The sequence below is a fragment of the Homo sapiens genome, chromosome 1 (genome assembly GCF_000001405.40).
Source record: "Homo sapiens chromosome 1, GRCh38.p14 Primary Assembly".
In the NCBI taxonomy this organism is placed as follows: domain Eukaryota; kingdom Metazoa; phylum Chordata; class Mammalia; order Primates; family Hominidae; genus Homo; species Homo sapiens.
The window spans coordinates 21,522,386-21,537,345 of NC_000001.11; the positions used below are offsets into that span (position 1 = coordinate 21,522,386).

At 48.8% G+C, this 14,960-nt stretch overlaps 1 protein-coding gene across 5 annotated transcripts in view, besides 2 other annotated features; it reads left to right on the forward strand.

Moving 5' to 3' along the window:
- The window catches only part of ALPL (alkaline phosphatase, biomineralization associated), a 69,427-nt gene that overhangs the window by 13,402 nt on the left and 41,065 nt on the right, over nt 1-14,960 (forward strand). The gene's annotated exons all lie outside the window — the stretch shown is intronic.
- Nucleotides 1,332-1,391: an enhancer, noted in NCBI's record as "active region_334". NCBI's record gives its function as "activates an Ori minimal core promoter by ATAC-STARR-seq in GM12878 lymphoblastoid cells {active_cell/tissue: GM12878}" and the evidence as "EXISTENCE:reporter gene assay evidence [ECO:0000049][PMID:35858748]".
- Nucleotides 11,906-12,635: an enhancer, noted in NCBI's record as "H3K27ac hESC enhancer chr1:21860784-21861513 (GRCh37/hg19 assembly coordinates)". NCBI's record gives its function as "activates a minimal SCP1, AML or CMV promoter by ChIP-STARR-seq in naive H9 embryonic stem cells {active_cell/tissue: H9 hESC(naive)}" and the evidence as "EXISTENCE:reporter gene assay evidence [ECO:0000049][PMID:30033119]".

A 14,960-nucleotide genomic window follows, 5' to 3' on the forward strand; every position in this document is an offset into this window, starting at 1 on the left:
AATATATCATGAACCAGGCTGTGTTCTAAGCAGCTCACATGTATTTTTTCATTTATCCTTGCACCTGAGGCTCAGAGAGATTATGTTCATGTCTCCTAGGTCACCTGGTTGGTGTCACGTGCAAATATTTTAATATCTCCCAGGACATGTGTGTTCCAAATAACATAATATGGGAACCACCTCCCCTACCAGCCTCCTCCCATAACACACACCTCACGCCCCAGATCCTAGGCTTAGAACAAACGGGAACAGTAGTAGGCGAGTCAAGCGGTCATGTTGTCCCTGACTATAAAATGCCTCATCCAGTGTCGGGCACACAATAGGTCTTCTGATCACCATCTGTGGGATAGGCGCCAATCATGATCTGAGCAGAAGCTGGCAGGAGGGAGCCCCGAATCTGCTGGAGGAAACTCGGTGCTGGGGGGACTTTAGAGAAGAAATGACAGCGGTCATAAATCATTGTAACAGTAACAGCTCATATTAACTGAGTGGCAGGCACTGTTCAAGCAAGTCAGATACATTAATCATTTAATCCTCATATCAGCCCTAGGAGGTAGATATTATTGTCATTGTCCCCACTCACGGATGGGGAGCCAGGCTCAGAAATAAGCTCATTTGGGCTGGGCGCAGTGGCCCCTGCCTGTAATCCCAGCACTTTGGGAGGCCGAGGTGGGTGGATCACCTGAGGTCAGGAGTTTGAGACCAGCATGGCCAACATGATGAAACCCTATCTTTACTAAAAATACAAAACATTATAGCCAGATGTGGTGGCAGGTGCCTGTAATCCCTCAAGATTACAGGTACTCAGGAGGATGAGACAGGAGAATCACTTGAACCCGGGAGGCGGAGGTTGCAGCCAGCTGAGATTGTCCCACTGTACTCCAGACTGGGCGACAGAGCGAGACTCCATCTCAAAAACAAAAAACAAAAACAAAAATGGGGAATAAGCTCATTTGTCCAGTAAATGGCTAGTAAATGATAGCTCTGGAGTGTGAACACCAGCACTCAGGCTGTGGCATCTTGCTGTCCTGCCTCCTTCTGTAAAGACTCGTGAAGCTTCCTGCTGGGTAGTTCCTGGTACCTCTGCTCCAGGTTGGCCACTGGCAGCAGGCCTGTGCCAGGGTGCATGCTGGCGCTATATGATCCGTGGGGCGGAGGGGAGTATCCCCATCTCCTCAGGGGCCTCCCCTATGTCACACCCTGAGGCTGGGCCCAGACCGGTATTCAGGAAAGGAAACTGATCTGTCACCTCACCCCTGCCTGGGGCAGCCCAGCATGTGTCAGCCCCCTAATCCCCGGGTACTGCCCAGGACAAGCAGTAACAGGGACAACCACCCTCCAACATGGGGAGGCCTGCAACAGCTCTGGGGCAGAAGGAGGCTCAGGGAGGTAGCAACTTACCACCCAGCAGCTCGTGGAGCTAGTGGGTGGTTGAGCTGGGATTTGGACCCAGGGCTTGGCTCTGGTGAGGGGGGATGTGTCTGCCATGGGGTTGTCTGGTCCAGAGATCCAGGCCTAGCTCTTTTATGAAACCTTAATTTGTTCACTGATAATAGCAAGAGTTGTCATTTCCTGAATCTAACCTCCCCAAAGGGTAGATACTCAAATCTCTGCTTTTTTTTTTTTTTTTTTTTTTGACATGGAGTCTCGCTCTGTCGCCCAGGCTGGAGTGCAGTGGCGTGATCTCGGCTCACTGCCACCTCCACCTCCCAGGTTCAAGCAATTCTCCTGCCTCAGCCTACTGAGTAGCTGGGATTACAGGCGCGTGCCACCACACCTGGCTAATTTTTGTATTTTTAGTAGAGACGGGGTTTCACCATGTTGCTCAGGCTGGTCTCAAACTCCTGACCTCATGATCTGCCCGCCTCAGCCTCCCAAAGTGCTGGAATTACAGGCATGAGCTACTGCGCCCGGCCCAAATCTCTGCTTTTACAGGTAAAGAATGGAAGCACAGGCTGGGAGTGGTGGCACATGCCTGTGTCCTAGCTACTTGGGAGACTGAGGCAGGAGGATTGCTTGAGCCAAGGACTTCAAGGCTGCAGTGAGATATCATTGCACCTGTGAATAGCTACCGCACTCCAGCCTGGGCAACATAGCAAGATCCCATCTCTAAAAATAAAAAATATAAGAAAAAAAAATGAATAGAAGCACAAAGGAAGGGAAGGGATCACCCAAGGTCCTATAGCTCATACATGGGTTAATCCAGAATTGGAACCCGGGCAGCCTTGCTCCAGAGTCCGGTCTCACTTAATGAGTACTAGATAATTCTCTGCATGTCAGATGGGTACACTCTTCTTGAACCTGCTAGTTCTTTTGGAGCCAGATCTGGGGAGGGGGAGCAAGGCAGGAGTTGAGCAAATAGCAGGAACAGACTGTGTGACACTTGCTGGGAGGCTCCGAGGCTCCAGCTCCCTGAGCTTAGAAGTGCGGAGTTTATCTATCCCCTGCGCGATTCCTGGGGGAAGGGAAGGACAGGCGAAGGGGCATGGCGGGGCAGTCCTGGTGTCTCCAGGACCAGGGTCAGGGGGAGGCCAGAGCAATTAGCCTGGCTGAGGCCTCTGCTAACTCAGAAACGTAAGTGGGGGATTGGTCCAGGCCTCACTCCAGGGCTCTGGCCTCGAGCCTGACCCTCCTGAGTTTCTATCTGAGGCTTCCAGAGTCTTCCTGGGGCAGTGAATCTCAGAGTGCTGGTTTGTGTGAGAACTTTGTTCTGAAATTTCCCTTTTCAACAACCAAATCCCTGGGCTGGCCTGCCTGCCCCACTTCCCCCTCTTGGAGGAAACGGATGCTTTCCTCTTGGGCGGCCACATGATTTGAATAATCAAGTGTTTCCCAGCTGGCCTCTGGCCAAACGGAGCTCAGCTGGGCAAGGCCCCCAGTTGGGGCACTGAGGCAAGCCTGCCAACCTCCTCATCCCGCCACACGCTCCAGCCACCGAGGGTAAAATACAGGAAAAATGCATGGCCCATAGACTTGGCTGGGCCAGGCCCCAGACTATTCCTGTGATGGAGGCAGCGCTTGTCTTGGGCTTTGTCCCATCTACCTGGAGAAAGCTGAGTGGAGGAAGAAAAAGGCTGCCCCTGCTCAGGAAATTCCTGATGGAGCGGCCTCTCCTGGCGTGCTCACCTGGGTGCTGGCGTCTTGGCACTTGTCAGGGTGGAGAGAGGAGGAAGCCAGTCAAGAAGGGGAAAGACGGGTGCGGGAGGACATTCACTGATTCAACAAACATCTCATTAGCCCAACTGCCTGTGAGGCCCAGGGTTAGGTGCTGGAATCACAGATGGATCTGCCCTGGATTTTGCCTTCAAAGAGTGTGTGTAGGCTGGGCTCCGCGGCTCACGCCTGTAGTCCCAGCACTTTGGGAGGCCAAGGCCAGTGGATCACCTGAGGTCAGGAGTTCGAGACCAGCCTGACCAACATGGTGAAACCTCGTCTCTACTAAAAATACAAAAATTAGCCGGGCATGGTGGCGCGTGCCTGTAATCCCAGCTACTCCGGAGGCTGAGGCAGGAGAATTGCTTGAACCTGGGAGGCAGAGGTGGCAGTGAGCCAAGATGGCACCATTGCACTCCAGCCTGGGCAACAAGAGCAAAACTCTGTCTCAAACAAACGAACAAAAAGAGTGTGTACAGAAATGGTCTTGTAAGCAGACTCCCCCACAGAGCCCTAGGTGGTAGAGGATGAGGGAAAGCATGAGAGGCCACCTAGCTAAGCCTTGGGCAGAATGGCCGCAAAGGATTTCTGGAGACAGCAGATTTCATTTATTTATTTTTTTTGAGATGGAGTCTCTGTCTCCCAGGCTGGAGTGCCATAGCGCCATCTCGGCTCACTGCAACCTCCGCCTCCCAGGTTCAAGCTATTCTCCTGCATCAGCCTCTGGAGTAGCTGGGACTACAGGCATGTACCACCATACCTGGCTAATTTTTGTATTTTTAGTAGAAATGGGGTTTCACCATGTTGGCCAGGCTGGTCTCAAACTCCTGACCTCAGGTGATCTGCCTGCCTCGGCCTCCCAAAGTGCTGGGATTACAGGTGTGAGCTACCACGCCCGGCCTACTTTATTAATTTTTAACCTTTTTTGCTGCATTATATAATTTTTGATATGTGGTGTTTTTAATCATTCAGTTCTAAGTAATTTTAAGTTTCTACTATGACTTTTCTTTGATCCTTGAAATTTTTAGGGACTTTTTTTCATTTCTAAGTGTAGGGGTAATGATTTATACTTGTAAACGCTTAGCTTCTCACTTAATTGATGGTCACAGGATGTGGTCTATGTGAAAACTTATTATTTGAACTGTGAGACTTACTTTTTGGCCTGGTAGGTGATGAATTATTTAAATGTTTGCATGTTCCTGAAAAGAAAGTGTGTTTATGTATTTTGTTTCTACCATCCTACATTTTTATTTCAATTTGTTCTGCTTTTTCTGTTTTATCACTTTAAAAAATTATCTGTGGCTTTTCCCTACAAAGACAAGATTAGCATTTTCTCATGTCCCTTGCTCCCCTGCCTCTCTTCAGTTTCCACACCCTTCACTGACATGCTCCCCTCAGCCCCCATGATGTCACATGAAAATTGTCTAGATTTTTAAAAAATTGTCTAATTCTGAGTTACAGATCTATGTTATTCTTGTTCTTTTCTTTTCTTTTCTTTTCTTTTCTTTCTTGAGATGGAGTTTCACTCTTGTTGCCCAGGCTGGAGTGCAATGGTGCGATCTCAGCTCTCCACAACCTCTGCCTCCCGGGTTCAAGCGATTCTCCTGTCTCAGCCTCCCGAGTAGCTGGGATTACAGGCATGCACCACCACACCCAGCTAATTTTGTATTTTTAGTAGAGACGGGGTTTCTCCGTGTTGGTCAGGCTGGTCTCGAACTCCCGACCTCAGGTGATCTGCCTGCCTCAGCCACCCAAAGTGCTGGGATTACAGGTGTGAGCCACCACGCCCGGCCCTTCTTGTTCTTTTCTTTGAACTTGAATTTGTTTTGAAAAACTAAACTTTACTAAATTATTTGCTCAGTCTTCAGATATCTTGAATACAATCTGTGGAATTTGCTCCTAATTAAATCATTCCTTTAAAATTATTTGATTCTTTTTTTGGAGGGGGCGAGGGGCTGTCTTTTTGTACAAACCTGAGCCCTTGATGCTGTAACTTTTATTAGCCTTTAACTTTTTTTTTTTTTTTTTGAGGTGGAGTTTTGGCTCTGTTGCTCAGGCTCAAGTGTGGTGGTGTGATCTTGGCTCACCACAAGCTCTGCCTCCTGGGTTTAGGCGATTCTCCTGCCTCAGCTTCCTGAATAGCTGGGATTAGTGGCACCTGCCACCACACCTGGCTAATTTTTGTATTTTCAGTAGGGACAAGGTTTTACCTTGTTGGCTAGGCTGGTCTCAAACTCCCAACCTGAAGTGATCCGTCCACCTCGGCCTCCCAAAGTGCTAGGATTATAGGCATGACCACCACGCCCGGCCAGCCTTTAACATTTGAATGGCTGTTTAGCTGGATAGAAAATTCCCAGCTCAATCTTTTTTTCCTTCTGTAGTTTGGTCAATTCGACATTTATTCCATTTGTAAGTGTTCTGTTTTTTGCTAAACCTTTAGGATGTTTTCATTGTGTGTACGTGTTTTTTTTTTTTTTGTTTTTTTGTTTTTTTGTTTTTTTTGAGACAGTCTTGCTCTGTCACCCAGGCTGGAGTGTAGTGGCACGATCACTGCTCATACAGCCTCAACCTCCCCAAATAAAGTGATCCTCCCACCTCAGCCCCCTAAGTAGCTGGGACTGCAGGTGCACAACACCACACCCAGGTAATTTTTGTATTTTTTGTAGAGATGGGGTTTCCTTATGTTGCCCAGGCTGGTCTCGAACTCCTGGGCTTAAGCGATCCTCCTGCCGTGGCCTCCCAAGGTGCTGAGATTTACAGGAGTGACCTATTCAGGCATGAGATTACATGCCTGACCTATTCAGTTTTTTTTTTTTTTTTTTTTTTTGAGGCGGAATCTCGCTCTGTCACCCAGGCTGGAGTGCAGTGGTGTGATCTCAGCTCACCGCAACCTCTGCCTCCTGGATTCAAGCAATTCTCCTGCCTCAGCCTCCCAAGTAGCTGGGATTACGGGCATGTGCCACCATGCCTGGCTAATTTTTTTTTGTATTTTTAGTAGAGATGAGATTTCACCATATTGGCCAGACTGGTCTCGGACTCCTGACCTTGTGATCCACCCACCTTGACCTCCCAAAATGCTGGGATTACAGACGTGAGCCTCCGCTCCCGGCCGACCTATTCAGTTTCTTAATGGTATGTTTTGATAACAAGAGGTTTTCAATTTTGATGAAGTCCAATTTACCTTTTTTTTCTTTTATGGAATTAGTATTCTTTGCCTAACCCAAAGTCATGAAAATATTATGGAGTCAGGGCCGGGCGTCGTGGCTCATACATGTAATCCCAGCACTTTGGGAGGCCGAGGTGGGCGGATCACCTGAGGTCAGGAGTTCGAGACCAGCCTGGTCAACATGGCGAAACCCCGTCTCTACTAAAAGTACAAAAATTAGCTGGGTGTGGTGGTGGGCGCCTGTAATCCCAGCTACTCAGGAGGCTGAGGCAGAGAATTGCTTGAACCCAGGAGGTGGAGGTTGCAGTGAGCCAAGATTATGCCACTGCACTCCAGCCTGGGTGACAAGAGCGAGACTCCATCTCAAAAAAAAAAAAAAGAAAATATTATGGAGTCAGTATTCTTTGCCTACCCCAAAGTCATGAAGATATCCTTTTATATTTTCTTCTAGAAGCTTTGTGATTCTGACTTACAATTAGGTTTATGGTTAATCTCAAATTAATGCAGTAAGATTGGGGTTAATGTTCTTTTAACTTTTCTTTCAATGTTCTGTTTCTTTTTTTTTTTCTGAGACAGGGTCTTACTTTGTCACCCAGGCTGGAGTGCAGTGGCATGAACATGGCTCACTTCAGTCTCAACCCCTGGCCTTAAGCAACGCTCCCACCCCAGCCTCCCAAATAGCAGGGACCACAGGTGCACACCACACTTGGCTAATTAAAAAATAATTTTTTTTGTAGAGATGAGGTTCTTGCCATGTTTCCTGGACCTTCCAAAGTGTTGGAATTCCAGTCATGAGCCACCAAGCCTGGCCAATTTTCTGTTTCTTAATCCTTCCCTGCTTCCTCCTGGAAGCGTCCTCAAGCTAATAACTTAGCTCTCTCCTCCATCGTTCAGCAGCTGGATACACTCTGTAATTTATTCTACTTATGTGTTTGTTATTTCAACTGGTTTTTCACATAGAGTGTTTCCACTGGGGTCTTTTAACCATTCCTCTTTCTGTTTTGCTAACATCTTTGCTCATTTCTTTTGCATGTTTCTCACAGTTTATGGAGACTTTTTGTTTGCTTCATTTTGTTTCGTTTTTTTGAGACAGGGTCTCCACTGTTGCCCAGGCTGGAGTGCAGTGGCGTGATCTCTGCTCACTGCAGCCTCGACCTCCCGAGCTCAAGTGATCCTCCCACTTCAGCCTCCTGAGTAACTGGGACTATAGTTGTGCACCACCACGGCCAGCTAATTTTTTTTGTATTTTTTGTAGAGATGGAGTTTCATTGTGTTGCCCAGGCTGGTCTCAAACTCTTGGGCTCAAGTAATCCACCCGCCTTGGCTTCCTAGAGTGCTGGGATTACAGGTGTGAGCCACCGCATCTGGTCCTGTTAATGGTTTTTCTTTAGAATTCATTGTGCTATGGCTGGTAGTGGCGTGGGGTGGGATTCGGGGAGCCATGCACTTCTTGCCCTTAAAACTAGCAGCCAGGGAAAACGTATGGCTCCTGGATCCTCCCTCTCAAATCAGTCCCAAATACTGAAAAGCAAAACATCACTAAACCTAGGCAATTACGATTTTTGCTTATTTTAAATTCTCAGTAAATCTGATCTAATACGGATGATTCCAGCGGTATCTCTAATCAGTTTGGGTTTCTTTTGAAGTCATTGTGCTCCTTGGATACTCTGTTCTTTAACTTGTGAGCTTACTCCGTGGGGGATTTCAGCTATTCTGTTTGATGCTGTGTCTTTGGTAAGAGTCTAAGGCTGACCCTAGTCGCCCAGTTCCAATGAGTCCAAGGAGACGACATTGCCAGGACGGGAATCCCTGGACATCAGAACCACTTGGTTTCTCACTAGGTGTGACATCACCATTCTCCCTCCCCCAGTGACTCACTCCACAGGATTGGGCCTCTCTTTCAGACCCCAGGGAGAAACAGTGAGGAGAAGGGGCTATATGCCTAGGTCAGAATTCTTCAGACTGGGGTCTGGAAAGGAAGGGGTGGTGGAGTGACTGTAGAGGCCCCCTGTAGTGACTGTCGGTCCCCTCCCAATTCCTGCAGTTCCACATTGTTTGCTGGCAAGCTTTGAATTTTTTTTTTTTTTTTTTTTTGAGACATGGTCTCACTCTGTCACCCAGACTGGAGAGCAGTGGCATGAACATGGCTCACTGGAGCCTCGACATCCTGGGTTCAAGCACACCTCCTGCCTCAGTCTCCTAAGTAGCTGGGACCACAGGCGTGCACCACCACATCCAGATCATTTTTGATTTTTTTTTTTTTTTTTTTTTGGAGACAGAGTCTTGCTCTGTCACCCAGGCTGGAGTGCAGTGGTGCAATCTTGGCTCAACCTCTGTCTCTCAGGTTCAAGCAATTCTCGTGCCTCAGCCTCCCGAGTAGCTGGGATTACAGGCACCCACCACCACACCCGGCTAATTTTTGTATTTTTAGTAGAGATGAGATGGGGTTTCACCATGTTGGCCAGGCTGGTCTCGAACTCCTGGTCTCAAGTGATCCACCCGCCTTGGCCTCCCAAAGTGCGGGATTACAGGTGTGAGCCACGGCGCCCGGCCAATTTTTTGATTTTTTTGTAAGAGACAGGGTCTCACTTTGTTGCCCAGGCTGTCTCAAGGTCCTGGGCTCAAGCGAGCCTCCTGCCTTGGCTCCCAAAGTGCTGGAATTATGGCCCAGCCCATGCTTTGACTTTATCTCAGTAGACACTTGTGCCATCCTCCTGGGCTGCTTTATGCAAGATACTTTTTGTGGGTTTCATGAAAATGTGGGCTTAGTGATAAGCCATAAGTTAATTGAGGGGCAGAACAAAGGTGGGTTGGACAATTTGGGGCTCACATGTCCTGGGATAGAGAGCCAAAGGGGCTCTGGGAAAGGGAGGAGGATTCTGGGAGGACACGGAGTCAGCAGAGAGGAGGATGGAGTTTCAACAAGCCCAGAGCTGAAGTTGGAGACTGAGGTCTAGGGTAGCAGATGTGGGCTTTGCCAGGAGGCAGGTCCAGAGGGTGGCTGTGGGGCTGAACTCCAACCCCACACCCAGCTCTGACCTTAGTTGTTCCAGGACAGTGGGTGTGTGTATGGGGGCCTGGGCTTGGAACAGAGAGGCAAGAGGAGAACTCAAACCCTGTTTTCTTTTCTGTAATATTCTCTCCACCCTAAAGACCATGCCCTGCCTTTTCTCCTGGCTGCAGCAACCCCTCCCCGCCACCCTACACACACTAGTTTAAACTCTCTTCCATCTCCCAGGAGATTCTGTTTCCCCATTGTTGCCTAGGCTTAGTGGTATTTTGTTCTGTTGTTACTTGGGATTGATGTTGAGAAGGAGGACCCAGGAGCCATATGTCTTCTCTCTCTGTTGGGGCAAGGAGCGTGTGGATTCCCCAATCCCCTGTCCCACCACCAGCCAGAGCACAATGAATTCAAAAGTAAAACCATAAACTGATTAGAGACAACCCAGAGTCAGTGGTATTAGAATAAAAAGACCAAGATTTTTTTTTTAATTTTTTATTTTTTGAAATGGAGTCTTGCTTTGTCACCCAGGCTGGAGTGCAATGGTGTGATCTCAGCTTGCTGCAACCTCTGCCTCCCAGGTTCAAGCGATTCTCCCACCTGAGCCTCCCGAGTAGCTGGGATTACAGGCACCTGCCATCATGCCCTGCTAATTTTTGTATTTTTGTAGAGATGGGGTTTCACCATGTTGGCCAGGCTGATCTCGAACTCCTGACCTCATGTGATCCGCCCGCCTCAGCCTCCTGAAGTGCTGGGATTACAGGCGTGAGCTACTGCGCCCAGCCCAAGACCAATATTTTAAATAAACATCAGAAACATGAGAAATAAGGAAACAAGAGAAATAAGGAAAAACATTTGCAGCATAAAGTAGAATGAGAGAGTGTAAAAAATAAAAGAGCTGAAAGCAAATATTCAATATGAGAAAGCAGCCTCATTCTCTGCCCCACCCAAACCTCTGCGTGCACCTTACAGCTCCCTGTTCTCCAGGAAAGACGTTCACGGCTTCTGGACCTTGGCATGGGCTGTTCCAGCAGCTTAGACTTCCTTCCCTCCACTTCTGCTGAAACACTTCAGCACATCCTCAAGACTCCTTCCCTGACCATGCCTCATGGTCAAGGTGACACTCAGTGATGGCATAGGGTTCTGGAGTCAGGACACCAGGGTGCCTGTCCTGATTCTTCAACTAATTGGCTGTGTGACTTTGGGCAGGTCATGCTACCTCTCTGGACCTCAGGCTTCTCTTGGAGAAAAAGATGAAGGTGTTGGGTTAGAGTATTCCTAGAGTCCCTTTCAGTTTGTTGTGATACCATGGTGGGGAGCACAAGCTTTGGAGTGGGGCTGCCCACCAGCCCTTCCTGGGTCAGCACTTAACGCTATGTATCATGGAGCAGTTCTTTCAACATGGAAAGCCACCGTTTACTTACCCTAATATATGGGTTAAGAGCTTGTAGTTTGGAGTTGGACAATTTGGGCTCAGAATCCCAGCTCTGCTGCAGGTCTGCTGTGTGACCTCAGGCAAGTTACTTAACCTTTCTGTGCTTTTTTCCTCTTCATAAAATGTGAATGATACTAAGAGTACCTACCTCAAAGTGTAGGAGCACAGTGAATGCAGCTGTCATTCTGCTGGTGACAGTTGTTTCACCACTATACAGACATCTCCTTTCAGTTTGGTAGATTCTTGATGATTATCTGCCGGGCTCTGCTTTCCAAATACACTCTCTGTTGAATTTTAACTTTTAACGGATGCTCTCCACTGCATTTTATCTGTAAAACAACCCTGCAAGGTGAGGATGACCAACCTTGTTTTATGGATAAGGAACCTGAAACCCCAAAGTTGCTTTCAAAGCTACACAGCCAGGACTTAACCCCAGGTCCACTTCCCACAAGACCAAGGTCTTTCCACCATGCCACACTATTCAGAAGATTAGACTGGGTCTGGGCACGGTGGCTCACGCCTGTAATCCCAGCACTTTGGGAGGCTGAGGTGGGTGGATTACCTGAGGTCAGGAGTTCGAGATCAGCCTGGCCAACATGGTGAAACCGCCCATCTCTACTAATAATACAAAAATTAGCCAGGTGTGGTCGTGGGCGCCTGTAATCCTGGCTACTCGGGAGGCTGAGGCAGGAGAATCGCCTGAACCTCGGAGGTGGAGTTTGCAGTGAGCCGAGATCGTGCCATTTCACTCTGGCCTGGGTGACAAGAGTAAAACTCTTGTCTCAAAAAAAAAAAAAGAAGAAGAAGAAGAAGAAGAAGAAGATTAGACTGGGACTTGGGAGATTACCAAATACAGGCAGATGGGAAAGCACAGTGAGAAGTCTCCCAGGCTGGAGTGCAGTGGCGCAATCTCGGATCACTGCAGCCTAGACCTCCTGGGCTGAAGCGATCCTCCAGTCTCAGCCTCCTGAGTGGCTGGGCCTACAGGTGTGTGCCACCATGCCTGGCTAATTTTTGTAGAGACAGGATTTCGCCATGTTCCCCAGGCTGGTCTTGAAATCCTGGGCTCAAGCAGTCCTCCTGCCTTGGCCTCCCAAAGTGCTGGGATTACACGTGTCAGCCACCACACCTGGATCCTACATGTATATTCTGACTGTCCGCCCTTGGCCATATGCAAGATGCCTTTTGTAGTTTCATGCAAATGTGGGCTTAGTGATAAGCCAGAAGTTAATTGAGGAGGCAGAACAAAGGTGGGTTGGACAATTTGGGGCTCATAAGACCTGAGATAGAGAGCCACAGGGGCTCTGGGAAAGGGAGGAGGATTCTGGGAGGACACGGAGTCAGCGAAGAGGAGGATTGAGTTTCAACAAACCCAGAGCTGAAGCTTCAGACTGAAGCCTAGGGTAGTGGATGTGGGCTTTGCCAAGAGATAGGCCCAGAGGGCAGCTCTGGGGCTGAACTCTAGCCCCCCACCGCTGTCCCTCACCCTGGTGTACTCTTGAGGGTCTGGGTTTGTGGTTTCAGTTTCTTCCTCTGCAAAAGGGCTGCTAGTACCCCTTGGTAGAGTTAGGGGAGAGGGCACGAGGGAGACAGGAGGCCCTGGGCAAGAATCCAGTTGCGCTGGTTGTATTGACATGCATGGACTTGAGAGTTATCCTGAAACCCTATCCCTCCTTATCTGTGATTTGGGAATCACGTTCTGGCCTGTGTGGGATCATTGCAAGGCCACAGTGAAATGATTTCTTGGTGAGACCTTCTCTGATCTTTCTATTTAAAACTGCAAACCTCCCTGTCCTCCTCCCTGCCTTCTTTTTCCCCGCTGTACTTACCGCCACCTGGCGTTCTATTGCTTTTACTTACTTCCTTGTTGTCTGCCTGCCACACTGACAGGGATTTGGGCTGTTATGTTCAGCACCTAGAACAGCCCCTGGCATATTGTGGCTGCTCAATAAACAGTGTTCCAGCGAATGTTGGTTGAATAACATATAGGGAAAGCCCTAGGCATAGAAGGTGTTTAGTCAAGATCAGCTGGATCTTAGAGACATAGGGCAGACGCCTGAGAAAGGCTGGGACAGCTCACTTGGGGTGACGAGGTCTCCCATGAAAGCATTTGGGGTCTGGATTTCAGGGCAGTGCTGGTTTCCTCTCTGGCCACAGCCTGCAAGCAGCGAGCCATATAGGAGAGGAAAGTTTGGCTGGGTGTGGGGCCTCACCCGGGAGTCCCAGCACTTTGGGAGGCTGAGGCAGGAGGATTGCTGGAGCTTAGGAGGTTGAGAGTCTGGGCAACATAGCGAGACCTTGTCTCTACTAAAAATAAAATCACCAGCCGAACGTGGTGCTGTGCGCCGGTGGTCCCAGCTACTTGGTCTCTTGCTGAGGCAAGAGGATCGTTTGAGCTCGGGAGGTTGAGGCTGCAGTGAGCTATGATCGTGTCACTGCACTTCAGCCTGAATGACAGAGCAAGACCCTGTCTCAAAAAAAAAAGAAAGGAGAGTGAAGCTGGATGGGCCAAATACTGGGGCTTCTGAAGAAGTCAAGACCTTCAGGCAGACAGGAAGCTCATGACACTTAGCTTTCTCGTTTTCTTTAGCTTTTTAAACCACTCTGACTGCTCCTGAGTGGAACAAACTCTCAAAGAAATGATAGCCTCAGCCCACTCCACTCCAATGACTAGGAGAAAAAGCAGTAGCACTGGGCCCAGGCAGATCTGGAGACATGGCTTGGCCCTGCCCCTGTTTAGCAGAGGGACCTAGGGCAAGTCACTTCACCTTGCTGAGTCTCTACTTTCTCCTCTGAAATGGGTGTAGTGGTATTCTCCCTCCGAGGCCTTTTGTGTAAAACCTACTAGAAAGGTGAATTATAACCAGTCATTACCAAACTGAAGGGCCTGGAAGGCAGAGCTTGTACCTGCAAGTCCTGTCACAGGGCTGGCACACAATAGATGCATGGAACCTGGTGGTCAAAGGGTTGTAAACTTCAATGGACAACAACCTGTCAGAAAGTGAGGATCTGAGTCCTGCAGGGCTATTAGACAAGTCCAGCCCCAAAACTTTCTGTAATTCTAGAAGTTTATAGATTCCAAGTAGAAAGTGACTTGTAGGAAGTTGGACTCTTACATTACCACATACTTGAAACTTGTCAGCTTTAGCTTGTTTGCAAGATTTTTCCTCTGGCAGAAACAGCTGGCAGAATATGAATGACCTGATTTGGTTGCTCACAATCTAAAGCGCTGAGAAAAACTGGCTGAGCTGCAGTTCTGAGGTCAGACTCTGTGTTCCAAGTAACAGAAAAGCCAAGACGCACAATGGGGAAATTAATTGGCTCATGTAGCCAGGATGTTCAGAGGAAGGCTTCAGGCATGGCTGCATCTAGGAGCCCAAGTGATGCTATCAAAGACTCAAGGTCTCTACCTTTCTCTAGTCCATCTCTGAGAGGTTGCTTCCTCTTCAGGCTATACAAAGTGCCCTTCCCCACCACTTCACACCCTCATAACCCAGCAAGCAGACAGAGTCTTCCAGCTGGAGCCAGTCAGGGTCCACCTGGAGCTGGAGGCGGGATCAGTCCCACCCAAACCAGGCTGAAAGGGGGAGGGTCACTTCCCAAGGAAACTTGGTGGTATTGTTAGGAAGGGGAAACAGACTCTGGGTGGCCAAAAATGACAGTAGATGTCCACTCCACTCACCAGAGGGAGTGCAGTGGAGAGCCGTAGAAACTTCTGCATTGTACCTTTTGATTTGCAAGGTTCCTTCCCTTTTTTTTTTTTTTTTTTTTTTTGAGACGGAGTCTTGCTCTGTCACCCAGGCTGGAGTGCAGTGGCGCGATCTTGGCTCACTACAACCTCCACCTCCCAGGTTCAAGCGATTCTCCTGCCTTAGCCTCCTGAGTAGCTGGGATTATTGGCGCCCGCCACCACGCCTGGCTAATTTTTTGTATTTTTAGTAGAGACAGGGTTTCACTGTGTTAGCCAGGATGGTCTTGATCTCCTGACCTTGTGATCTGCCCGCCTCGGCCTCCCAAAATGCTGGGATTAAAGGCGTGAGCCACCGTGCCCGGCCAGGTTCCTTCCCTTCTAAGACGCTGATACTGGAGGCAGAATGGAGTTTATTATCCCTGCTCTACAGCCAAGGAAACAGCCCTTGAATATTCAGCGAGGACTCTGACTTGTAACCCTGGGCTGCCCCCACTGATCTCAGCCTCTCTGTGCA